The 27,408-nt window shown below is 39.0% G+C and overlaps 1 protein-coding gene across 51 annotated transcripts in view; it reads right to left on the minus strand.

Moving 5' to 3' along the window:
• CADPS (calcium dependent secretion activator) overlaps window positions 1–27,408 on the minus strand; it is a 477,069-nt gene that overhangs the window by 93,811 nt on the left and 355,850 nt on the right. For 10 of the 51 annotated variants that reach the window (NM_183393.3, NM_001438352.1, XM_011534199.3 and 7 more), the window contains 5 exons: window positions 25,991–26,092; window positions 24,422–24,485; window positions 23,901–24,024; window positions 7,004–7,110; window positions 132–288 (listed from right to left, as the gene is read on the minus strand). In NM_183393.3, the coding sequence (NP_899630.1) occupies window positions 132–288; window positions 7,004–7,110; window positions 23,901–24,024; window positions 24,422–24,485; window positions 25,991–26,092 (554 nt within the window). The other 41 variants (NM_001438350.1, NM_001438348.1, XM_047449106.1 and 38 more) reach the window with 12 other exon arrangements.

Raw genomic sequence — 27,408 nt, forward strand, 5'->3', positions numbered from 1 at the left:
GGTGGGGTTAATCATAATAAAACCATGAAGAGCTATGTCAAGCCTGTAGTCTGCTTGGGATAAAGACATCTTAGTGATCTGTTTATCTGCACACTACTTAGGAAAGTCAAACAGTCAAAGGTAATACATACAGTCAGTACGGAGAAAATCATTCAGCAGCTGAAATAGTGGAAAACTGTCCCATGTGTCTGGAGGTTGCACCTCTAAGGCTGCATCCATGTCTACTGCAAAGAGTGACAGGAACGTCTCCGCATGCTCCACCATTAAATCTGACCACCACGCAAAGGCCTTTAAAATTTGGCAGAAAAACAATAGACAAAGAAGTGATGAGCTTCTTTCTCGGACATAAGACGTGAATTCCAGCCCTCACTGTTCAAAATTAATGGTGCATCCAGCAGGGTTTGGTAATTTTATTGTAAAGAGAACAGAATTTTTGATACAATTGGGGTGTTAAGTGTTTAAGGCAGTGCTTTGCGTTATTCCAGGCCTGCCATAGAGAGCCTTTATTCTGACCTATGGGTCAGAGGATGCTGCAGTAGAAATGACAGACGTGGAACTTCTGTTCAATTTACAATAACTCAGTACATTTTGAGTCATGCTCTTTGTCATTGTTGTTGGCTAGTTCTTGCTCTAAGGTATTAAAATCTGGGAGTTTCTTCACTGTGTTTATGGGTTTTCTGCTGGTCTAACTTGAAAATTTGTAATTATTGTTCACTTATATCTACATATCTGGGGCTTGTCTATGGTCTCATACAAAAACTCAAGAACTCATGTTTCCCTACACATTGGAAATGTTACTCCTATTTCATACTAAGTCAAAGAAAACCATTGTTGCAATTGTCACAAAACTTTTGAGTTGTAATCTTTTTAAGCAAGGAGGCTTTGGTTTTGTATCCAGTCTGGAGGAAAGATCAGGCTTAGGCTAGAAAACACTGAGTAAGATCAGGAGTTACTTTTCTGGGGGTTGGACACATATGTACATTGAAAACCAAAAAATATCAGTGAAGTAACTCATTTTCATGCACATGGGCCCTTGGAAATCATTGTGCAGGGTCTCAGGGGGTGACATTCACATCAGACTGGGCCAGATGTGAATTCAATTCAAAGGCATGCATGCATGTTGACTAATCATTTCTGGCAGGGAGCATGCAGAATGAGTGGCAGTGTCAACAGGCCCTGTTTTGCCGATTTCAAAGAGAGCAGAAAAACAAAAACAAATTGCCAGCCTCTTCTGGTCCCCCACATCCCCATTCAATGCCGCAAAGTATTTACATTGGAAACACTTTCCGGAGCATTCACCAAAAAAAGATGGGAAGGCATTTGAAAATATGAAAGATGATTATGGAAAAATTCCATAAATGAAAGGGTTTGTTCAATGGCCAAGCTCTTCTGTGATCTATTAGTTATTAGAGGGATATTCTAACAGCCACTAGGAGGCAGAATAGGGGTCCACCTCTCTTCTTTCACGAGATTTCACTTTACTTACTTCTCCTTTATCAACATGTGGCTGGTTTGCAAATTAAATGAAAAAAATCAAGTCATGGACCATTCTGCAAGGTTGGCTTGGCTGGAAATAGACACCTGCTGTTTCCATTTTAATTTACAGTAAAACCTCACTGATTCAGATTAATGGGAGAGGGGAGATGCTGGCCTGTCAGCAAAAAAAAGCCTAACTTATTGGACTTTCTAAAAAGAGGTATCCTTTTACTGTTTTTGAATGTAGCCTATAATTGGACACTAAAGTAAAAAGTATTCATTAAGTTTACATTAGTTATTAATGCAACATAAGTGTAAACGTTTTTTAAGCATGTAATAATTATAGATAAGATGACTTATAAATTGAAGTCAAAGAAACAGTAGATTTAATTTCATAGATCCTAGGATGGAAAAAAGGGTATTGGATTCCTCTAACTTGTAAGAAGAGTCTTTAGAATTTCCTGAGAAAGTTGAGATCAAGTTAAATATATTACATAAGAGAAAGAGTCACATCTGCAATTGAATTTTCACAGATTCCAATATTTGGGTCTGAACCGATGAGGTTTTATTGTAGTTTCACCACCTGCAGATGAGAGCCCTGGGGTTTAGGGCTTACTCCACTGACTACCTAGCTAAGTCCAGTAGATAGAGAAACCCTCCATGCCACCCCCAGAACTTTCCCAGACACCAGCCTTTTAGGCAGAGACCATCTAAACCCTGGAACTTGCTGGATGAAGTTCCATCTCCACCCCTGTGTGGAAGGCTGACTCTCATCAATCCTGATTCCAGACATTTGAAAAATTCACAAAGGTACACTAAATGTTGGCTAGTACTTATTCTTTAGTTATTCAACTAACTTTACATCTTCAGGATGAGTCCAAGAAAAGTTATTGGGAAGACTGAGTTGCCTCCCCAGATATAATTTGCCCTAGAATGACAGGAAAAAACAAAACAAAACAAAACAAAAAAACCAAGCTCAAATGTTTGCAATTAAAAGTTTATTAACCCAACCTCATACCTGGCTCTTACCAGCAATTTTTTTTTTTTTTTTGGACGGAGTTTTGCTCTTGTTACCCAGGCTGGAGTGCAATGGTGCGATCTTGGCTCACTGCAGCCCCTGCCTCAGCCTCCTGACTAGCTGGAATTACAGGCGCCTGCCACCATACCTGGCTAATTTTTTTTTGTTGTTTGTTTGTTTTTGTATTTTCAGTAGAGACGGGGTTGCATCATGTTGGCCAGGCTGGTCTCAAACTCCTGGCCTCAGCTGGTCCACCTGCCTCGGCCTCCCAAAGTGCTGGGATTACAGGCATGAGCCACCACACCTGGCCTCTTACCAGCTTTTTAGCTTAAAAGTTGCAAACCAGAGGTCATAAGAAGTGCCACTTCTACGATCTATAGAGAACTTCATCCCTCATTGTAATTTAATATATTATTGAGCAAATATTTACCATCCTTGCATTAATAATCATTTAGATATTAATAGCCCTGCAAAGAACGATGACTACTGTGGCATGAATCATTGCTATTGGAGTCTGGTAGAACAGTTTAGGGATCTAGTGAACCAAGAGAATTTAAATTTGGGGACTGTAGAGTAAGTGAGGACCAGAGCTATTTTTGTACATTCAAGGGAATTCTTTTCAAAACCTTATAATCAAACCTGACTCTCCAAGAAGAACAAAATGATTCTAGCAAGGGCAGTAACAACCAGAAAGCAAAAGTGTAATTCCAATTAAATGAACAGAATCTGTGTGACCGGGTTGGGAAAGGCCAGGCTTTAAAAATATTTATTTTATGCTTGCTCATACAGGTGAATGCTATTTTTGTACTTGAGCTAACTCACAATGTTCATGGGCATCTAAAGTCTTATAAACCTTTTCCAAAGACAATAAGGAGAATAAGGAGTTATACTTCGGCTACTAAATACTTACCCAGAGCTTTTCGTTATTCAAAGACAAAGATGTGTGCTTTAGGGGTACAGTCTACATCAAACACACTGTATATTTTGCACACAAACTAACATGTATATATGTACTCCTCTATATACCACAATACATATATACATATACATACGTATACATAGAGAGAGATTGGGAAGGTGTAGCAACCATACATGAAGGCATAATTCGTGTGTGTATGTTTGTGAATAGATTAGACTCTGGAAACAGAGTTTAGCTGCAATTAAGAGATAACTGTGACCACTGCTACCATATACCGCATGTGTGTGCATATGATGTACTCTTAGCTGGTGAGATTTCTTTTCTTGGGACATTTAATTACTTTATCTTGGAATTTAAAATGCCTTTAAGGATTATTGTTTTTATTTTAGGTGGAGGAGGCAAGCCTACTAGTCACTTTGATTTGAGTGGTACCACCAAACAGCATGGCCACACAGCCAAGATCCAAGCTTAGGATTTAGTCTTTTGTTTTTCTTTTCTTTTCTTTTTTTTTTTTTTAATATACTGAGCACCCAGAGAACATGGTAGTGAGTACTGATCAGTAGAACATAATTGTCTTACTTTTTCTTTTGGGGAAGAAAAACCCTATGTTTAGTGTGCCAGCAGTAAGGCTACCTCTTCCACTGTACTCCAGCCAGTCTTGACCCTGGTTGTACACTGGAATCACCTGGGCAGCTTTTAAAAATTACCCATGCTCAGCACCTCCCTGGAAGATTTCAATAAATTGAGCTGGGACAAGACCTGGAGATCTGAATTTTCAAGAGCTGTCCACGTGATTGCAATCTGTAAGTAAAAGTTGAGAACAGGTGGTAGTGCCTTTCTGGCCCACTGTACCTTGAAATGAATCTGCTCTCAACACGTTCTGTTTATTCTGTTCATTTGGTACTTTCCACACAGGTTTTGTCACTTTGATAATCAGATATTCTTATATTTTGTTTCCTTAGCAATTTGTTCCTCATAACAAAAGAGCCAAGCTTTGTGGAGTGCTCACTTTGTGCCAGGCATAACACCAGATGCTTTAATGAATGTGGCCTTCCACTCTAACAATGACCATCTATTGTTATCTCCACTTTACAGGATGAGAGAAGTTATACTGGAAGAGAAGAGGCAAAGCTAGGATTCAAAGCCAAACTTCTCTGGCACAGAGCCTAAACTCCTGGACACCCTGCGTTCTATTGCTTGAAGGACAGGCTGTCCTATGCCTAGTTGTCTTTCAAAAAGCACCAAGGTAGTTGCCTCAGTGCTCAGAAGATGGAAGACGCTCAATAGGTAGCTTTTGATTGATGGAGAAGATTTTGTGATTGGGTAAAATTTTTAATTTTGGAAAGAATCCTGTACATTTATCTAAAAGAAAATTTGGTCTCAGGCACTTCAAAGTATGCTGAAGTTTTCATTACTAAGTTTTAAAGTTGGTAATGGGAATTGAGTTGATGTCTACTCTATTTAATTTGAATGGCTTTTGAATATACAAGATTAAAATATTTTGTGATGATGGTTATTAGGGCAGTTTAGGATAAGGATTAACACAGCGAGAAAGGGCTTTTTGGAAAAGTGAAACGTGCCTTGTTTAGCATATAAGCCCTCCTTTGGTGTTTCTTTTGAGCAATTTAGAAAAATATACATCCTTTCTTAGCCCGTAGCAGCCTCCAAAAATAACTTGATTATAAATCAAGTATATCTGTCATTTTTCTTCTCCTCTGATTCACTTAAAAGCACAATTGTGACTGAGAAAACTGTGCTCTTTGTATTTATGTCTTCAAGAATGTGTGGGTTTGGCCCAGCATCATGGGAAGAGCCTCAACCACTCAGATCAGAGGAGGGCAGGCTGGAGCCCCTCCATGCCTCTGGAGATGACTTTGTAGACACGTGGGAAGAACACACTTACCATCGCCGGAACCCCAGATGCCTGCAATCTGAAAAGAACATCCTATAGGATAGCGTAGGAAAAATATTCTAACCCACTTAATTGTTTACATGTTTGGAGGTTATCGATTTGCTTTTCCCTATCACTCATGGCTGTGCGTTGCGGATAGATGCTGCATGAATTAGTTCTACCTGCCTCAAGGGGTCTTACCCCCATTCTTTAAGGGTTTTCAGGGAAAAAAATTCTTCAGTACTCTCTCTATATATAAATACTGTATATATGATTCACATAGAGACGGTTGTTGAGGAAGATTAGTATCACTCCGGTGAGCTACTGGTTACTAAGTTTGATACTCATCTGCTGTAATAAAGGTAAGTACAGACAGACATAGGAAACTACACCAGGCTAAGGACAGAATCAAGGCAGGTAGGAGGCGTTGTGTTGGGATGTAACTGCAGTCGTTGTTAAGTATATCAATTGCTTCATGCACGCACAAGAGAATCACCCACATTGACCCTGCCGTGGAGGGTCACCCATTCCACAAGCAGTCCACTGGAAGTTGCTGTTACATTCCTTGGGTCAGTGTTAGAAAGCAGGAGCACCAGGAAAAGTCCCATTAGAAGACATGGTACTGGAAGGGCATGCACAAAGTATGACAGCAGGTGGCTGGTTCATTCGGTTTAGTCACATACCTCTTTCCCCTGCCATGATCAGCCAAGATTGAATAAAATAGTAGAAAAACAGGGAGGAAATTTAAATATGCAATCAGGCATTAGTCGGGACGGCTGGATTTATGGCGTATTATATATTATTTAACTATACTGGCAATTTCCATTTAGTCATGGAATGACCATTTTAGGTACTTGAGAAATTACTTTTAGGAAATGTCATTTTTCCCCTTTGCTGTAAATCTGAATGTAGAGAAAGGGGGAGAATTATGCAATTTTCAAAAAGATTATTTTAAGAGAGATGATTTTAAATCTCACTTTTGAGATGAGCATTGATATAACCATTTAACCATCATGAAATTTTGGAATTTTTTTGGAAGTGTTAGGTTGTTTAAGTCCTTATAGGTTTGGGATTTAGTTAGCCTTGAAATCCCTTGGTTTATAATTATTATCAAAAGGATCATTTTGACAGTGGTTTCTTAAAAAAAGTAAGCTATATTTATTTAGATGTATGTTGGAGAATCGACAAGTTGAACGACACAGAATAATTTGCTTCTGTCACTGTGTTTAACAACCCAGGCAATCTAAGATGAAAAAAAAAATGAAGACTGTAGTACAAGCAGAGTAAGTTACCGAGATAAATTGAGAAAGAAGGTCTGTGGTTCTCATACCAAATAACTAATAAAAACAACAGTGGTGGCAACAAAAACAACCACAAAAAACCAAAAAATATTTTGTGTTCTGGACAATGGTAACCAGATGCTGCTTGAATGATTAACTTTAAAAAGCACTCACCTCATTTGTTCATCGCTAGAAACATCTGAAAACTTAGGCCGAAACATACAACATGCAACCACTTTTTGGTTGGTTAAAATAACCTTCCAAAGACTTCTTGCAAAACTTCCACTTTCATTCCCTTTGCAATCCCAGTTAAAAGAAAATGGGTGTTAAGGCATCTTATTCACAATCTGGCTGGGAAAATCAGCTCTGCAAGCTCAGCTAAGGGACAGTAAGATACACTTCCCACCAAGCCTGCTCACCTCTGCGTGGTGCTCCTCATTTTGCTGAAGAACTTCAATGACTAGTTCAGCAAGACGTATTGTATCTTCAAGCTTTTTGGCAGGAGTGATTAACCGGCCTACATTTTCTGTAGTACAAGAGTTTGTGTTAAAATTCAGCGAAAGTGGCAGGCTACTTTTATGGCCATTAGAACTAGTGGATAAGAAATTGAGAATAGTTATCAGTTTTTTAAAAAAAATTCATGCAAATGTTAAGTGCCATGTAATTAGTAGTGAGCAAACCATAAAGCCATTTTATTATTATCACCATTATTATAATATATATTAGAAAAAAGCAGTGCTCCAGCTTCAAATTTGCATATGAAGCTATATTAAGTCTATGACAGCCCATATCAAATTTAGTGACATTTTGTACACATGTTCTTTAAAGACAGCATAAATGTACTATACCACTCTCTAGATTGTAATTATGCTACCTGAAGTGGGAAGATTAACAGAAGTTTAATATTGATTGCTGTTACATTTGTTTTTTAGATTAGTTATTAAATGCTACAGCGTAATTTTTCATTGCAGGCTCGCGTATGTTGGAACGCTCATTTTGAAAATGCAGATTCAAATGTCTGCTTCAAGTTGTCCAGGGAGGAGATAGAAAAGAAAAATTGGATATGCCTGGGCCATTAGTCAGGAATAATAATTCTTAAAAGGGTGTTAGGAGTAGATTATTGAATGGGTTGTGATAGTTTGTGCTACTGGTTGTTACAATTGAAATTTTATCAGTTAAACTGAAACAATGTACTTAATTGTTTTCTTTGTTTTTAGTTTCTCTTAAACTGAAAGTGTTGTATTTTTACCCAGCTCAAGAAGAATCTGAACCCTGGCTTATGTTGCCTTCTTTTTAGAGCTGAGTTCATGAGTTTGACAATGTCATTATGTTCCAAAAATTACAAACTTTTTTCCTTTGGGAAAACAGTAATATTTAAAACATAAAGGAGGTTTTCTTTCTTTCTTTTCTTTTTCTTGTTTTTTTTGGAGACGGAGTCTCATTTATTCTGTTGCCCAGGCTGGAGGGCAGTGGTGCGATCTCAGCTCACTGCAACCTCTGCCTCCTGGGTTCAAGTGATCCTCCTGCCTCAGCCTCCTGAGTAGCTGGGATTACAGGCACCCGCCACCACGCCGGGCTGATTTTTGTATTTTTAGTAGAGACAGAGTTTCACCTTGCTGGCCAGGATGGTCTCAAACTCCTTACCTCAGGAGATCCGCCCGCCTCAGCCTTCCAAAGTGCTGGCATTACAGGCGTGAACCACTGTGCCCGGCCAAAACATAAAGGTTTTCTTGGCCAGTGAAACTGCTTGGATTCAACCAGTCTGAATTCCAGGGGAACTTGTATTTCATGTTTAGCCCCCTTCAAACCTTGAAGTCTCAGAGTCAGAGCACATGGGATATAGTGAAATAAACATCATTTAGTAGAATTCCCCAAGTAGGTACATACATTTGCAAAAGAACTGGCAAAATTTCTTTTCATCTCTTCATCTGAAACAGGTATATTTTGGCTTCAGGATGTTTCTTGCTAGAAAGAATTACCTATTACTAAATAGGAAGGTTTCTGGCAGGCAGCAGTGGGTGGGAGGAAGTAGGCAGACTTAAAATCATAAGAGATTGCTAATTTACAAAAAAAAAGGTTCTTAATATTCTTTTATGCATTTCTTACGTAATGAACATATCAGGTCATTAGTAATTTAGGATTTAATAATGAAAAATAAATTCAGCGAGACACTATGCAAGAAGAGTGTTCTAGCAAATGGGATGTAAGGTGATTAGTGGGACAGGGTAAGACTAGCCAGGTGTTGAAAGTCTCAGTCTAACAGGGCCTGAGGGCTAGTGTGAAAATGGGCTTCCTGGATTCAAGTCAATGGAAAGCTCCATTATCTCTGCCAAACCCAGATGGAAATGTGGCTGGATCTGGTTAGAGCCTGAAGGTGGGGCTGTGGGAAACATAAACATGTGGATTAGGCAGAGAACAACCAACACTCAGAATAAGTAGATGTGGGAGCTTAGGTGCTGAGAGCCCATTGCCTGGTCTAGAGCAACATATATTTAGAGAAAGAGTGTATGACAAGATTGACTTCTGTGCTTTTGGGGCATCTGACCTGTTAGTAATTTGATAAATAGACTATCATAATTTCATTCGTAGACTTTCAGGCATTTCTACAAACATACTGTGTATATATTTTTGGGTAATATGTGTAGAGTGAGGTATTTGCATTTTGATAGTAAATATGCACAGGCTACTATTTTTTGTTCGTTGATATTCACATTTACACATCAATTTGCAAATTCCTCATCCTATGCTTATTACCCATTCGACACATACACCCACATACACACATCACACACTTACATACATTTTCTAGTAACAGACAAGCCTGCACATTAATACAAATCTTCAGGAAATCCCACTTGGGGCACATCTTTGAAATCTCTTGCTTTAAAAATAGAGAGCTTTGTCCTTTTGGGTGAAACACTCCCCAAATCTAGGGGAATTCTGGCTGTTTATGACATAGGATAAATAAATAATTCATACCAATATTTTTATGCACTTTTTAAAAAAAAGTCAATAATTTTTATGTTTGGAAAAATCCAAGATGTTGAAGCTAGGACCACCTGAAGATTTGTTTTAATAGGCAGTACTCTTAGATTGACTACAATAGATATCAATAGATACACATAAATTGTGCATGTGCATGCAGCCATTCTATGAGTGTGTGCACATGTACGCAGATATGTGTATGCCTGATGTATATATACAGACAGTATGTTTAATAAAACCCTTTGCAATTTTACTTGAACATAAAACCATTAAAGTAAGCAGGTTAAGGATCCTTTAATCTAGAACACTTGATCTGCCAATTAACCCATGTAGCCAGTCTTTCATTTACTATTAATTAGCTGTGATTCCATCATCTGTAGATCAAGCCACATTAGTGAGACACTGCACTATTTTCCTGTTTGTTTGCATAGCTGCTGTACTACTAGCTAAATGGCAAAATGGAACTAAAAGTAAATTCCCTAAGATGTTGTCTTTAAAGAAAATATTGTGCAAAATCCTTTAGCACTTCTTCCCTCTCCCCAACAGAGGTCAAGGAGAAATTTGTGCTTAGAAGTGATTTTTTTTTTTTTTGGCCACTTAACGCTGTCTTCAGATGAATTACAATATTCCTATCCCCCAAGCTTGCGCTAGCTGGAGCACTGATAAAATGGAACTAAAAATATAGTATACTTAAGAACCATTTCATACAATAGAATTGAAGCTCATAACACAGAAAAAATTGTCATGCAAAATGTTACGCAACAACAATGTTATTTTGTGCTGACATTGAGATTTGAAAATGTTGCATATGTCAGACATAGCTAGACAAAAAATATGTGGACATTTGGAAATAAATGCTCTCTTTTGAGTATCTCAAAACCTATAAAATTATACTTGAGAGCCCGAGTCTCAGCTTAGTGTTCCAAACTGAAACAAAATTTCAAGAAGAAAGGTGAACAGAAAAGCAAACTAAACTAGAAAGCTGCCAAGTAGAGGAATGATGAAAGTTTACGGTACTTGATTTTGGCCTAGGCATGCCTTTGAGCCTCTGATATAACATGCTGGTCTGTGTTTGGGTGGGTGGAGGAGGAGGCCCAGGATGTGGCAGGGGAGCTGCTTGGGTAGGTGAAGAGAGACAGTAAAAAAGTAAAGACAAAGTGACTTTAACAAAGGGTGACAAGTAAGATGACAAACTCTGAAAAGAACAACCAAATAAGCAAAAATGATAAAACACAAATGGAGAGCTGCTGCTTTCTTGGCAATTCTTCAACACTACAGAGGTGTGACATTGTTTGACAAGGACTCTTACCAGTGTCACCAGCAACCCCCACCCACCACCACCACCGAGACACTCAGAGGCTGAATGCAAATACCAGATGCTTTATCCAGATGGATACACATGAATGATGGCAGCAGCAGCACTGACCAAAAAAAGATACACTTCGTACAATGAAGAACACCTATACATTAATAGCTGCTTCTTTTTTACAGATGACCAGAAATAGGACTTGATATATTAATAGTTGGAAGATCTGGCTTGTCATCCCCCATATGTTACTTACTTTCTACGTAACCTTGCATCTGCTACTTGAACCTCTCTGTGCTTTAGTTTCCTCATCTATAAATTGAGAGTATCTTTTCTTGTATATGTTACAGGGCTGCTGATAAGAGCAAAGAAAGCAATCTATGGGACTGATCTCTGTAAAGCTCAAGATGCCTACACATGTTTATTGCTACCTCCACATTGTGAGAAGGCTGCAATTAATTGCTTTGCAAAAGCAGATGAAGGGCCGTTATTAGTTCAAGTGAGCTAGGAAATATTCTTGCTCCCTTTGTGGAATTTCAACATGTCAAAATCTGTCATTTTGGGGGAAAATGTGTGGTATCTGATTGTTTCCAGCTCATTTAATTATTTTCAATTTGGAATTCTCGTGGCTTTTATATTGTGGGTTGAATCATATATAAAAACTTGCCAGCTTATCAAATATGTTACTTGCTATTCCAAATGTTAGAATACTGTAATCAGCACTTGACCCATCTGTCATGTGGTTTACAATATCAGCACAGCAAACATCCTATAACAATAGCCTCTCCTTCAGTACAGGCACAGAGCACTATCAGCTTCTGCAATTCTCTCTCTTTAATGAGTGTCTCATTAACCTTGGACCTGCTCCTTTCTAATAGTTCTGGTTTATAAAGCAATCTGTATGGTGAGAGGGACATACTCCATTGCCAAGTTTCCTTCTTGGTTTGCTTGAATTTTCAACTGGGAAAATGAATTTTACTGCAGGCATGTAGGAAATGGAATTCTAGTGACATTAATAAAAAAGATTGAAAAATATGGATAAAATATAATATTCTGGCAAAAATCATCTATTAAAAGCATGAGATCCTCTTCTTGCTGGACCATTTCAGTGTTTAGAATACAGGACAAAAAAATTAACAGTTTCCTCTTATTGAAATTGTTTGGGAAAAAAATGTGTGTAAATAGAATTTGGAAGACTCAGTTTTAAATGATAACCATTTAAAAGGAGGCAACTACTAATCCTTTCATCATAAAAAATAGTACTCCATATTGTATATTTTGTTAAAATCTGGTTTTCCACTGACAGCACTGCCTAAAGTTAAGAGCATTTCTGGTAATCCATCCTCATGGCTCTTTCAGTGAATGCATGTTACCTGCATGTGCAGTTCTCACAGAAATTCCTGACTCATTCTCACCCAGTTAACTGAACCTGGGTAGAGAAAGACTTGATCTGGTGGTGAATAAAACAATAAGGCGCCTCTGGGTTGATCTGTCACCCATGAGGCAGCAGATACATATTTCAGCTAAATGGGTCTTGATGAGAAATTCATAAAGGGATTTCCTCCTGCCAACTGTCTGTCCAGAATTCTGACAGTGAGGTTTGCCACCATAGAAAAACAAGCTCCCTATTTTTTTTTCCTCAAAGAGCAAAACAAAAACATCATACCTTGGTTTCCAACTTCATTTACCCAATTACCATTGCTCATGTTTACACAATTAAATCTGCTTGGCTTCCAGAGAGAGAGTTAAATGTGACTGCAGAAAAACAAAAAGAGAATTCCGCAGCAGGCTTATCTAAGCCAAGGAAGAGATGCATCCAGGAGCAAGAGACACTCCAATTAGCCCTTAAATAACCTGACCAACTCTGGCTCTAGCTAGTGAATTGCCAGTCCCTGAAATATCATATGAGAGATGAATATGATTGATGGAAACTCACTTATTACCAAGTTCCAGCCTATTGATGTGTTGCTGAAGATGCTAGTATTTGTATTATGCAATTACAGAAAATAACTAGCCTGTAGCAATTTGCTATGATCTGGGGGTGGGGGTAGATAAAAGCTCAAGTAGCAACAGAAAGCTTAGCAGATAGCCACATCATACTATCCTGAATACCCAGCTTCCCTAAAATGATGGCTACATAGGCCAAAAACATGCAAGGTTGAAATCTAATACAATTTATTTAGTGGGACTGTCTGTTATGTATACTTGATCCCCTTGATTCTCCAATATCCACTCCCTTTCAAAAGGTTCCAGCTCTAGGTCAGTCTAAAGTATGTGTTAATACAGGCTGTTGGATGGATCATGGATTTTTCCCATGCTTTTCATTGGAGCCATCGTTGTCTTTTCCCTGTAAGGACTTAGGTGGTATAGCTTGTCCAGTCTACCTCCAAAATGTCTCTTATCTCACACCGTACTAGATCACGTGCTTATCCACACTCTTGCCGAGGGGGTGGGCATATGACTCAGGTCTCATCATTTCCACCTCAACTGTTGCTAAAGCCTCCAAGGCAGCCTTCAGTCCCTTTTCTCTTCTGCAGTTCATTCTCTGCCATGCAGCAGTCAGAGTGATCTCTGTTAAGCACACATCTGAACTTGTCATGCTCCTGCTTAAAAACCTTTGAGAGCTTCCCTTCATGACAAGGGTTATGCCTTCATATGCCATAACAAGAGAGTGCCATCATAGCAAAGCTTCAGCTCCTCTGTCGATGCTTCTACTTGAGCACTTCTGGCCCTGGATAATAGGAAATTATATACATTTGTCTATCTCCCTGTCTGCCAGGGAATTCTGTATTTCTAGGGCTTAGAGCAGTGCTGGGGCCAGGGTAGGTCATCAAATATTGGTAGAAGGGAATTCTCAGTGGATCCTGTCCAATGCAGTGCTTTCATGAAAAATAAAATGCTCTGTGTTTTCAGTATACATACAAACTACACAGGAATTCTTATCTCTTATCCAAAGTCTCTGGTTACTTAACAAATGTACTAGGCTGAATTCTGAATAGTAAACATCATAACTTAAACTTCCAAGCCAGAGAATAACATCAGGTTTCTTAATGCAATTAAATACTATTTAAGACAGCTGTGCGCGGTGGCTCACACCTGTAATCCCGGCACTTTGGGAGGCTGAGGCAGGAGGATCACGAGGTCAGGAGTTCCAGACCATCCTGGCCAACATGGTGAAACCTCGTCTCTATTAAAAATACAAAAGTTAGCTGGGCATGGTGGTGTGCACCTGTATTCCCAGCTACTCAGGAGGCTGAGGCAGGAGAATCTCTTGGACCCGGGAGGCGGAGGTTGCAGTGAGCCGAGATCACCCCACTGCACTCCAGCCTGGGTGACAGAGCAAGACTCCGTCTCAAAAAACAAAAACAAAAACTATTTAAGACAATTAAAAATAATTTTATTTAACTTAATACAAATTAATTTAAATTAAAGAAAGAAATATAACACTCTTGTAATGGTTTTTCTTCTCTAATTTGGTATTGTATGCCAACTCAGGCTTTGTTCCTCGGGCTGAGCTGTTGCATATAAGAAAAGTGAGCTTAATTCTGCATGGACATTGTGTTGGAAATCTGTCCTTGTATGTGCAAGAACCTTGCTTAGGGGAGTTACCTTCTCTACTCCATGTTATTTTGGTGGGACTTCCAAGGAAAGTATCCTTCAGGGGAAGCCACATGAGCTACACCTGGCCAACCATAGTACCTCATACCATCATGGGTACTATGACTGGCTCTGGGGTTAGCATGTGACCCAAGCTGGGCCACTGTGGCCCTTCTCTGGAATTGTATACAGTTGCTTGGAGAGGAATGCTCTTTTTCTTCTAGAGTCATTAGCTAGGATAAAAGGCTGGTGCTATTTGTGGCCATATTGCTTCCCAAACTTCAACCATTAGCTCCAGTCACATTAAAGAAGCCTGTCAGCAGCTGGAGATATGAAAACACATGAACATTTTTCATTTCTGAGACCAACTCCTTCATGGATTTCCTAGCTACATGAACCAAAAAATTCTCTTTTCTTGCTTAGGCTATTTGAGTTCTTTTTTTTCTCTGATTCAGTAGTACTACTAAGTACCCACTTAGTCCCCAAATAAACTTTTATGTACATTGCCACAAGCTGTCTTGGGCGGGAGCTTGGAGCATCTGGAGGGATGATGAATAGAGGCAAACACTGAAACAAGGCTAGGGAACACCCCAGTCAGTTCTTCTTAGGGGTCCAGTCTTTGACCTACATCATGCCCTTCTCTGGCACTATCCCCTGCTCTGCAATTCATCAAAGACCCTGGCCTGGGTAAAATTCCCTTGTGCTGCACTCCTGTGACACCTTGCTTGTTCCCTTTACTATCATCATCAGATTGTGATTGCTTGTTTCATGTCTCTGTTTTCTTTTTTTTTTTGGTAAGCTCAACAAGGGTAGGGAGCATGACTGCTTTTGCTCATCACACACTCCCCTGGTGTCTGGCATAGCTCCTGGAACCTAGTGGATATTTAACAAATATATATGGAGATTGCAATGTTGTATTTGAAATTTATAATAAAAGACAATTTGAATACCTCTTATATTCCCTTGGCTCTCAAAGTACCATCCCTGGATCAGCAGCTTCAGCATCACCTGGAAGCTTGTTAAGAATGCATATTCCCAGGCTCCACCCCAGACCTGCTGAATCAGAACCTACATTTCAACAAGATCCCCAGTGATTCAGATGGACATTAAAGTTGAAGAAGCACTGTTTTATGATTCATTTCTGAAATCAAATGATATCATTATACTATACATTTCAACTTGGAAGAACATCCTTTTAAATACTTTCAAACAAATAATAAATTAATATATATAATGAGCACTTACTATGTGCCAGGCATTTGTGCTAACCGATTTATTTAGAATATGTATTTTAATCTTTGCAATAATTCTCTGGGGGAGGAACCATTATTAGCACCTTTTATAGAAAATAAAAGTGAGGTTACAGAGGTTAGAAAGCCCAGTGGAGGCAAGATAAGGATTTGAATTTGGGGTATAACAAATCATTGAGTGCTCAGGCTGGGCTTGAGGTAGTGTTTTCTTAGAGCTGCACGTATATGACTCTAACATGTGGATGCTAGATGTCATCAAATGTCCTACTGGAAGCTCAGACCAGTTAATGGATTGTGGATAGGGCCGTTATATCTTGGCTGAAAGGTAAGGCAGCCTGGTGGGGTGGTGATGGCTCTTGAATAGCACATAGGACAAGAGACTGGAGAGTCACTGACTACTCATTTTTTTTGAACCTGGCTTCTTTTCTCCAGGCCTTGATTTTTCTAGCTGTCAATGACCAAGAAACCTCTTTTGTGTTATACAGTTTCATTGCTAACAAATCACAAGCACTTTATAGTGTAGAAGTTGAAAATGGGGACTTTGGAATTAAACAGGGTCATGTTCAAATTTTGACTCTACAACTAACCAGATGTTTAACCTTGGGGGAGTGACTTAACATGTTTCTACTTCAGGATTTCCATGCATGAATGCATAAGTTCTTATTTCATTGAAGTAAGAGGCACATCGTAACATTTCTGAAATCCGGATGCATCTTATGTTTGATAGCATGTCACAATACAGTATATGAATGGCGCAGCTTATAATTGATGGCCCTTTAGATTCAATGAAATATGGTAATAAAACACTTATCTCACAGGGTCATGGTGAGAATTAAATGAGATATGTATAACTACTTAGCACATACTAAATTCTCAATAAACAACAATTTTTATCATAATCTGCAGCATCACATCTTTTTTTCTGATAGAAGAGAGAGACACTGGTTTCATATTTGTGGGTTCACAGCATATTTTAACACATCCTTTTTTTTCCCAAAATCTTTCTTGGTGACAGTGTTTAAAACATGTTTCTCTTTGTCCTCCCCACTTATGGTAAAGTATAGATGAGGTGCTAGTCCACAGAATAATCTGGGCTTGGAAACCCTGATTTATGCACCACTGAAACAAAAAGGATGGAAAGGCTGGGTGTGGTGGCTCATGCCTGTAATCTCAGCACTTTAGGAGGCCGAGGTGGGTGGATCACTTGAGGCCAGGAGTTCAAGACCAACCTGGCCAACATGGTAAAACCCCATCTCTACTAAAAATACAAAAAATTAGCTGGGCATGGTGGTGTGTGCCTGTAGTCCCAGCCACTTCGGATGCTGAGACAAAAGTATTGTTTGAACCCAGGAAGTAGATGTTGTGGTGAGCCAGGATCCTATCACTGTACTCTAAAGCAAGACTCTGTCTCAAAAAAAAAAAAAAAAGAAAGAAAGAAAGAAAGAAATAAAAGAGAACCACTTAGTCCCTCATGTATAAGACATGAAGCATGAGATGGTCCTCATCTCAGAATGGCCATCCTGTGGGGATGAGATTCACTATTATTGGTCCCTTGTGGAAGACAGTGGGGTGGTGGCTTGGCTCTATGTGTTGGTGAGTTTTGCCAGCTTGGTTCTCTTTCTCTCTTTCAACAAGCCTTAGATCTGTAGGAAATTTGCCTGGAGACAGAGAAAGATACAAAACCTCAACATCACACAATCTTCCTGGAAGTCCTTTGGATAGATTTGACCTGATCTAGAAGGTTTCTGTCAATTGGAGAGAAGAAAAGTCCTCAGTTCTTGGACAACCTTGGGGAATCTCAACTGCCCTCGGGAAGAATTTACAATGTAAAGATTTTGTCAATGATCCAGTTCCAGAAAGGACTGCTCTGTTAATTTGTAGTCTTCCTATGTAAAAAGTGGTAGGTATTATACTTGACCTTATCCACTGAATGAATGGATATTGTCTAAGTGCTCACCACATCAGGCAAAAAGTCTACATGGTAGAAAGAGACAAAAATGCATGGTATTTAAATTTAGACAGACCTGAGTTCAAATCCTGCTTCAGAAAGTTACTTATCCTCACTGAATCACAGCTCCTTCATCTGTAAAGGGTGCAAAAATAAAGACTTCTTTATGAGTCTAAGGTTAAGATTGAATCAGAAGCCCTTAGCACAGGGCCAAGGCCCATAGGTTCATAGGTGGCTGCTCTCTTCTCTCTTTCTCTCCCCACCTACCCATCATTCATCCATCCACCCACCCACCTATCTACCTACTCTCCTCTCCTTTCCTCTCCTCTCTCCTCTCCTTTCCTCCCACCTACCTATTTCTGCATCTATCTATCTATCTATCTATCTATCTATCTATCTGCCTGCCTACCTAATTATTTCTGTCTATATCTATCTGCTGTCTGTCTACAAATCATCATCTGTCTGATTTTGCAAATCCTTGCCATATTTGGAGGAAAAAGTTGTTTTATTTCAAATTCCAGTGGAATCGTTATGATGCTCAGAAAATTATGCAAGTATTTAGCCAAGAACTGAGGCAAAACAGCAATAGTAGTGTAGACTTTCTCAGAGCTTGCTGGGTTCAGAATGTGTGACGGTTTACATGGAAATGTATTTAAAATAATAGAATTCATTTGCAGGAGTCACAGCTTTTCTTTCATAGACTAGCAGGCTTTTGCATCTTTTTTTGGAGGTACTGTAATTAAATTGAACATTTAATTTCTAATAATGCCACCAAACATAAAGCATAAGTCCACCAAAATGCCATCTGCATAGCCCTGTAGATTCTTAAAGCATAGTCTGACTAAAGGACTCAGCAGCTGTCCATATTTCAGTCCCCAGTATTCTACCCACTTCCCTACAATTTGCACCTGTAACTCCGGTGGTGCCCTACCACCTCCATACAGTTGGTTATGTAGACCTATCCATGAATTTGTGCTCTATTCTCATTAAGAAAATTGAAAAGGGAGGGAAGGGGTAAGAAAGAAAAAACATTTAAAGGCCAGGAAAGAAGTAATTATGATTAAGATTGCAATTGAGACCTGATATACTTAGAAAAAGCTTCACTATACCAAGCTTCAAACCCATCTCTGCTTTAACCTCAACTTTTAAGTCCAGTTCTACCCTATTCCCTCTCTTCAGTCCTTTCTCTTAATTCCTGCTAGCGTGATTTTTCTGCAGTGTAAACCGCCAACCCATCCCTTTGCATAAACAGCCTTCAATGACTCTTCATCACCTTTGCAGTTGAGACCTGTGGAATCTTTCTTCTGAAAAAATCCATATGCATGCCAAGGTTGGCATGATTTTCAAGTTAAGAAATTTTGAACCATGAGATATAGTCTGAACTCAGCATTATTATGGCATAGAAAGACCTTTGAAGTCCTGTCCCTGCCTACCTTGCCATCATCAGCACCCATCCACTACTATCATTTCACTCTGTTTTGCAGCTACGTTGAATTAATTACAGAGTAGTTAAAAGTGTGGCTTCTGCCTGGGCTGACTCCAGCTATACCACTTATACTTCTGGATGTGTGTTTTTTTAAGTTCTGTGCCTCCGTTTGCTCATCTCTACTATGGGAATAATAATAGTTCCCTCTTATAAGGGATTTTGAGGAGAAATAAGTTAATAATATGCTTAGAATCATACCTGGAACATGATATGCATTAAATAAGCATTCATTATTTTTTATTAGCTATCTGGCTTTACATATTTGCACATATTATTCTCTTGATGTAGGATGACTTTCCATTCCCAATCCTAGCTCCCCTTTGCTTATTCTAATTCATCTCTCAAGATGCAGTTCAATCCTTACCATCTCGTGAAGACTTCCATGGTTTTCTGACAATGCCCCATCCCTTTTACACATAACTCTACCAATAGGCCTTGCAATATAGTGATTTACATATATAGACCCATTTGCATGTATACTCCATGAGGCTAATAGCCGTTTCCCTCTTGTTTACATAGTCTCTGGCTTTTAACACTGTACCTGCTACAGGGTAGGCTCCCACTAACCATTTGTCTAATAAATGAATGAATGAGTGAATAAATGACTGAATAAATATCTTCCCTACCAGAGAGAAAGGTTCATGTGTCTTGAACACAGGTTTATGAGTCTTCAAATACTTATTGCAGCCCTATGCTTGGAATGTGCTCAGGAATGCTTTCTGAAATGTTTTGAAATGTGCTCAACTGTTAATTTGGATTAACTGATAGTTATTTTTGACAACCCTTTAGACTACAAAAATGATGATCCCTATTCTAATTTATTAAAGTTTTAAGTCAGACTTCTCCTCAAAATAAGATCAGAAGTTTTGGGACCAAACAAGAAGAAAATTTCCGAAGCCAGAACTTTCCAAGAGCTTTCCTCTAATACAACTTCCAGCAACAGCCCCTGTTCGGTCATCCTGTCCATGCTTCCTGCTTTATCATGCGATACATACAAGAACAACATGGATACAACTTCTCTCTGTCTTGGCTGATAAACATTCATCAAAGAACACAAACTTCTCAATAGGGCAGAAAACAGAAAAAAGAAATGAAAAACAAAGAGGAAGATTCATTTGGTTAAACAACTTTTTAAAAAATGCACATGAGGCCAAATCACTGGAATCCTATAACCAAGGATGAAATGAAGCTCTGCAGCAAACCAGAATTCTATTCCTTTAAAGCTTATGCCTTTTCAGAAATTCTGCTCTATAAAGGTCAACATCAAATGGGCATGAGATGTATTTAGACAGCACAAATTAACTCCTTAAGTATTATTGCAACTCCACATGGCTCTCTGGGAGTACAAACCTTAAGGAGCCATTGAAAAACAAAAACAAAAACTGAATGTAACTCAACAGTCCTGATAATTTATAATGCATATACAATTGGTTCACCTGCATCCTTTTGATTCTCTATTTGAAAGAGAGAGCACAACAAGGAGAGAAGAGAGAGAAACAAGAACACATATGCAGAATTAATGAGCAAGTGGACCAAAATGCCCCCCACTTATGTGTGATACATGATATTGGAAAGAAAAGGTTGCCCTTGGGTTCCCACCGCCCCAAAGTTTGGGGGCCAGCAAAAAAGGCTCCTTCACAGAGGTGGAAAATGCTGCACAAATAGAAAATTAGTAAAATTAAGTTTAATGTGAAATCAAGCTATGAAACATACATGAACTCTCCAAGTGACAATTAAGTCATATGTTCTAGGCAAAGTTTAGAGGACAAGGACAAGTCAAAATCTCTAGAGGGAACAAGGAAAAGCTTCCCAGCTTGATAGAGAACAGACAGGAGGCATATAAGATCTAATTTTTACAGAGAATGGACCACCTGGTGTGGTCTCATACCCATAATAGTTTGGCATCTTAAACATGGAAAAGAAGGCATGATTTTGCCCCAAATATCCTTTATCTGACACCTAACGCATTGCTCCCCAGCCTAGCTGCTACCTTTTGATTGTGTACCAGTGACAAGCACTTTACAAATTAGGGTTACACACAAGCAAAGTAAAAATGCATTCAGGTCACAGACAGAGAATAACTGAAAAACTTACAGACAAATCTGAGTTTATCACAAACAAATGGCTTAATTGTCTAACCTGTTTTAGGCTGATAAAAAGTGACTGGACTTCTCACACTGGGTTTCACAGACAGAACCAACAGACAAGCCAATGCTAAAAAACTTGAAGCAAGGAGAGTGAGTTGGTTTGGATCTGGATTTTCTTGAAATAATGAAAACAGAAAGAGTGAAGACAGCATGGTGAGGAGGTGGTAGGTACTCACGAATGGTTAAATCCATCACTTGGGAGGCCAAGCAGAAGACAGGATGCTCATACATTTCTCTCTTTTTCCCTATAAAAGAGGATTTGGGCATGCAAGAGGCTTAGGTCAGAGGTAAAGAGGTTAAAGGTCATAGGTTAGAGGAAAACGTTACATTAGCTCAAAGGAAAATAGCCACAGAGTATTTTGGGATAAACACAGGATAAAAGAAAAAGGAGCTTCAAAATTGGAGATCTACTGGATTAACCATTCAGCATGCCGTGAGTCACGAGAGAGATTGTGACCATGATTTTACACGTCTCTTTAGAGCTGTTTGCAAGAATACAATGACCAAAACATCATGAGTAAAGGGAAACAAAATTTCATTGATTTAAGGCTCCAAGATACTAAGGATTTAAGACTTTAGTATCTAAGGCTCTTGAGGTATTTCTTCATAAACATAGTCTCCAGCAATATTACTACAACTTCTTTCCAGAATTCTCAGATAACAAAGCTGTTAATTCTCACAGAGGGGCTCAAATGTAAAAAATGAAAGATTTCTTCTCTGAGGGTAGGATCAGAGCCTTGTAAAAGAAAGTTGTCTGGTAGTAATATCTTTCAGGCTGCAATGTCTCAGCCTATGGTGGACTATGTTCATGAAAGAAAACCTGATACATGCAGCCAGAGGATGTTGGGTTGTCTGAATTAACAATCCCAGCATGCTTTGAAATTGGTGTCTCAGCCACTTTTGCAGAGGTCACATTAAAGTGGCTGAGCCAATCACGGACAAGGAAGGAGAGAAGCGGAAGAGAGCAGGTAGTGTGGAATGAGGTACTTCTCTGAAAAGAGAGTTGAAAAAAAAGAATTGGTTTCTTCAAAGAATCCCCAGACCTAAAAGTCACAGTGCAAAAGATAATTAACACAACCAAGAAGAATTGAGGCACAAAAGGAAATTACAGACCAGCTGATCTACTTTGGAAATGAATGCATTTTTACTTACAGATCTTAAAGTTTGTTTTTGGATAGATTTATCTGAAAGAAGAGAGCAGATCTTACCAAAAGACTAGTAGTAATAGCTAGACCAAGACCTATGAGGCAGCAGCCATGGCAACAGAACGTTTCTTGATCCCATCCCATCTCTGGACTTGCCTAGAATTGTTAGGTACCTGGCTGACTTTACCAAATACAACCAATCATTACGTCCTGGGACAGTAAATGCTGGAACAATTATTTGCTAATATAGCCCTTTAACGACCTCTTGTTCCTCTATTTTTGTCACTCATTACCAAGTCAAGAGTTGATAAACATCCTTTTGGTGCCCAATTCTTAAGTGTTTCTCCCTGGATGCATAACAGTGAATTCATTACCACTGGTACACAATTTGCATTGTCAGACAGACAAAATTGAGAGAGGGAGGACACGTAATGTACAGAACACTGTGAATTTGACATAATCTTAACCTAATTCTCTAAGGAAACAAGGATTTTGGCAGAGTAAGTGATGGGGTCTGAGTGATTGGTTAGTTTCTTTTCCCCCCAGTTGTCTTGAGGCAGACAATGCGCATTTGCTAGTTTTAGTCAGGTGTCATGTTTCACGTGTGAGAGAACATCAGATTCCAGAATGCGGACACATCGAGTTTTGCACACAGAACTTCCACATTTATACACTTACACCACTGGTCAAGTTGGGTGTGGCTTTCAAATCACCCTATAGCAGCCAACAGGGTAACAATGAAAAGTGATTAATACCTTCGTGGATGAATAGGTCCCAAAGAACCATATCTTCTCAAGTAGAGTTTACTCAAAGCACCTTTGGTGATTACTGGGTCATCAGTGACCACTTCCCTAAAACTTGAGAGGGCAGTGGTAACAAGCATTTAAGGTCTGGAGTAACAAGAATGAATGAGATCTAAAGCCAACTTGGAGCCATCACAGATGGCTCAGCACTAACCTGCCATCGAGCTTGAAGCACTACCAAAAGACAAGGTACTTTTGGGGGCAAGAAAGAGCAAAACCTTGATCTTGCTCTTTTCAGTTCTTGTATTGCTTCCAATGCTATCAGCAGCGGACAACAGACTGCTTTATTTTCCTCTGTTTAAAGAAGGGGGCAATTCTACAGAACTCCTTCATAGGAAAACATCAGCCACAGAGCCGATACTTAGGGCCAACACAGACTCTCAGAAGGAATTTAGTTATCTGATAACATCCTGTTTTCAATATTGTTCCCTTACAAAGGGAACTGTAATTACAAAGCCCCTGTAATGTCTTTTAATTCATTTACTTGGCCACAGCCAAGGAAACTTCGACATTTCAGGTGCTTCCAGGTTTCAGCTTAATATACTCAGACGGACCACTGTTTTCAGGTGCCCTTGAGAAAAGAGAAAGACTTCCCCAGGGAGGCATATCAAAATTTAAATTCAAAACTGGGGGCAGAAGGGAGCCTTACCTTCGATTTTGGCATACTCTGAGAGCCGAGAATAGTTGACTAACGCAGCCTGTTCCAGACATTTACGGATAACTGTTTTTACCTCCTCTTGTGGCACTGGGGTAACAATATCTTTCATCAAAACCTTCAAGTAGGAAAAAGAGGGATTATTAAGAAGGTTCAAGCAAATGTGTCACTCATCCATACTTCTTAGAAGCGTGAAAGTTTAAAATCAGTTCTTTGTGACTTAATAAGATTGAGAGCCATGCTTAAAGAGAAAGCACCAGAATTGCAAAGCATTGGCAAAGGCCGTCCATGAGTCAGGGAAGGGCTAGGAACATATCTTCTGTATATCCTATTTGGGAGTTTGAAGATAAAATATCAAGAGTTTTGGCAGTTTCCTCGCTTCTATTCTGATATTTGATGAATGGTAAACAAATCCTATAAAAATTACAACTAGGTCATTCAACCAAAACATTTCATTACAATTATGCTTATGTCTTTTTATATATATGTGATCTATCTTTTACTTTCATTCTTACCCTTTCCAAGAGTGAGAGAGTAGCTTTCAAAGCACCTTCAGGTCGACCAAATGGAAAGCAATACCTAAAAAAGACAAAATTCTTCAGGTTGCCTAAATTATTACATTTTAGCATGAAATATGCTGCAATTTGATTCCTATAGCAACTCTCTCTGAGGAATGGAAAATGCTTTTTATTTTGTCACGTTGTGTTATGTTAATCTGAATTCACACCATATATGTGTGTATATAATGTATATATGTGTATGTGTGAATAATGACTAAAGAGGGACTCTGCAAATGTCTGCAGCAGAAAAGAATATTCAGAGTGGTGACATAAGGCTCTGTTTAGATTTCTATTGTGAAGGAGAACTATTTGTTAGCTCAAATGTGACCTTATATGTTATTATCGAGACTGGCGTTAAAAAAGTATTAGTTGGAACAGGCTGAAATTCAAATACACTTACTTAAGTCCCCAAAAGATCAATATATGGAATAGAAAAGTGGATTTAGAGCAAATTCATGATTCTGCTAGCTATCCTTCCCTGCTTGCGGTTTCCTATTGTTATGGACCGTCTGCTACCGGTAATGCATTTTACATATAGTGTGTATGATCAATAAAGATTTATCCAGGAGGATTTTGATGGCACAGAAAAAAACTATGTCAGGTACCACTACAAGTTCCAGTGACTGGTTTCAGGTTGTCACTGGCCCGTCAGAACACTGTGCATGGGACAGAGAGACTAGCATGGCTGCTTAAACCTGGACTATCTTATGTAAGCATCCCACTTCTTCCACTTGCCAGCTGGATTGCCTTGGGCAAGTTCCTTAACCTCTCTCAGCCTCACTTTGTTCCTGGTTTAAATGGGGATTATGATAACTACCTTACAAAGTTGTTATGCCACGAGTTAATACTTCTCCAGCCTCCAGTTCTATATCTGGTATATAGGAAGTATTTAATAAATAGGAACAATTACAAATGCTATTATTATTTTTCAGTTACTATTTCAGGATCTCTGGTCCAGAACCACCAGGACAGCACTAAAAACACCTAATGTGCTCCAAGGGAGAAGTGGGCTATGTGATGTAAGGCTCAAGCACAGAATCTGCTGGCTCTCTTGAGTATGCAGGGGAGATTCAATCCACCCAGGCTGATGCAAGGTTCATTCTTTCCCTGTGTTGCCAGCCAGTGCTGTTTCTGCGGTAGTGGAAAAAGTGGAGACTCTCCTAGGAGTATCACTGCCTTCCTTCCTTGTTCACCATGTTCTGATTCACAAGATTTTTTATTTATTCATTTTTACTTAGGAACCTTGAAGAAGCTTCAAATTCAACTTTTTGTAATAGATTGTTGACCAGGGTCAGCTCAAACATGGAAGAATTTGTTCTTTAAGTGGAAATAACATGAACTTAAGAATGCAAAGTTTCCTGGTTATTGCGGAACCATATCTGATTGATTTGCTTGTTCTACTCAGTTATTTCTAAATATCCAATGTATCCTCTGGTAGATTTACAGTTTTGGAAAATTAAGTCCTTTAGTTTTCCCTTCCCACTCTCATCTCCTAATTAAAGCTCTCCAGCCCCAGATCCTTACCTAAAATGTGTAATCTGATTTTCTAGCAGAACTCGGAGCCTCTCTTTGATTTCTTCAAAACGTTCCTTTTCTTCAACAGTCACAGTTCCAATTCCATCAGGCCTGAAAGAAGACATGTCATGAAATGACGGGAACCTCATATGCTGACACCATCAAATCAAATCTCTAGCAGGAGGAAACTGTCCATTTTAGAAGAAACAACTACAGTGATCGATGTGAGCTCAGGAGAAGCCCAGCTATTCAGGGCTAGCTTCCAAAGGCGTTGGGTTGTGTTTGGGTTATCATTTTGGAAACATGTGCAGAGCTGTAGCTCTTTTCTTGTGAAATGGTAAAATGTACAAACTGGTGGCTTGAAGGTTAAGTCCAGCCCCTGAACTTGTTCTGTTTGGCTCACAGCGTCTTAAGAAATTTGAACCAGTTGCCAACATTTTTTTAAATTAGGGAAGTTTGAGAATACGATTCTGATTTCTGTTTTCTTGAAAATTTGGAACAGTTAGCATTATTAATTGGTGGCTAACAGCTTCTTCCTTACCTGGGACAGGCACTCACCTGGTCCACATTGCTAAATTGTATTACCTATCTCTCTTGTAGGCACTTGGGTTTGGGGTCCCTGAATTATGCACAAAAATTCCTATGAAAATCAGGTGACTTGTAAGTGTTTGTCTTTCCCGGTGTCAGACGTCTTAAATGGCTCAATTTCTTGCCTATAACTACCGATGTTCAGATTTATTTAAGTGCTCATGTATTCGTTGAAGAACAAACCACATGTTTTCCAATTTTAGCAAACTGTTACTCATTGTAATAAAAAGGACCCCAGCTTAAATAAATGATTTCAGTTTGATCATCATATTCTCATGGTTCTGTGTCATCTTTAGGTGCATACATATATACTCTATTTGTTATGGACCATTCAAGTTGAAAATATAAAGGGAGGATACATATTTATAGCCCAAATTTATCTGTTCCAAACTAAATGCAGGATAATCTGACCCATTCAAAGCCTTCAGCTTCCCAGATCTCATAGTGACTTGTTTTGACTACTGGCTGAGCCAGTTTGCAGATTGGTGTGTCACCATAAAACTTCTATTGGAACATTCTTCAGTTTGCAAATGCAAGTCATCTTGAGACCAAACAAATGGTCTTATTTATAGGCCTTCTCAAGGATCCAGCATAAGTTGGGAAAATCCTTTATACTAGACCAGTCTGACTGCACAAAAGACTTGGCAAATGACAGCAATGTACCTCCTGTTACGGGTTAATCAGTCAGCTTTCCTTCTTTTTTGATAATAAAAATGCCCTATTTGAAATATGCGAAAATTTCCTCTTCCCCACTTTATAAAAAATACCCCCAAACAGTAAAATCCTGTTCAGTCCATTTCTTCATACTCTTCCAAAGAAAGGCAAAATGATAAACAACA

This window comes from Homo sapiens, chromosome 3 (genome assembly GCF_000001405.40).
Source record: "Homo sapiens chromosome 3, GRCh38.p14 Primary Assembly".
NCBI lineage: Eukaryota > Metazoa > Chordata > Mammalia > Primates > Hominidae > Homo > Homo sapiens.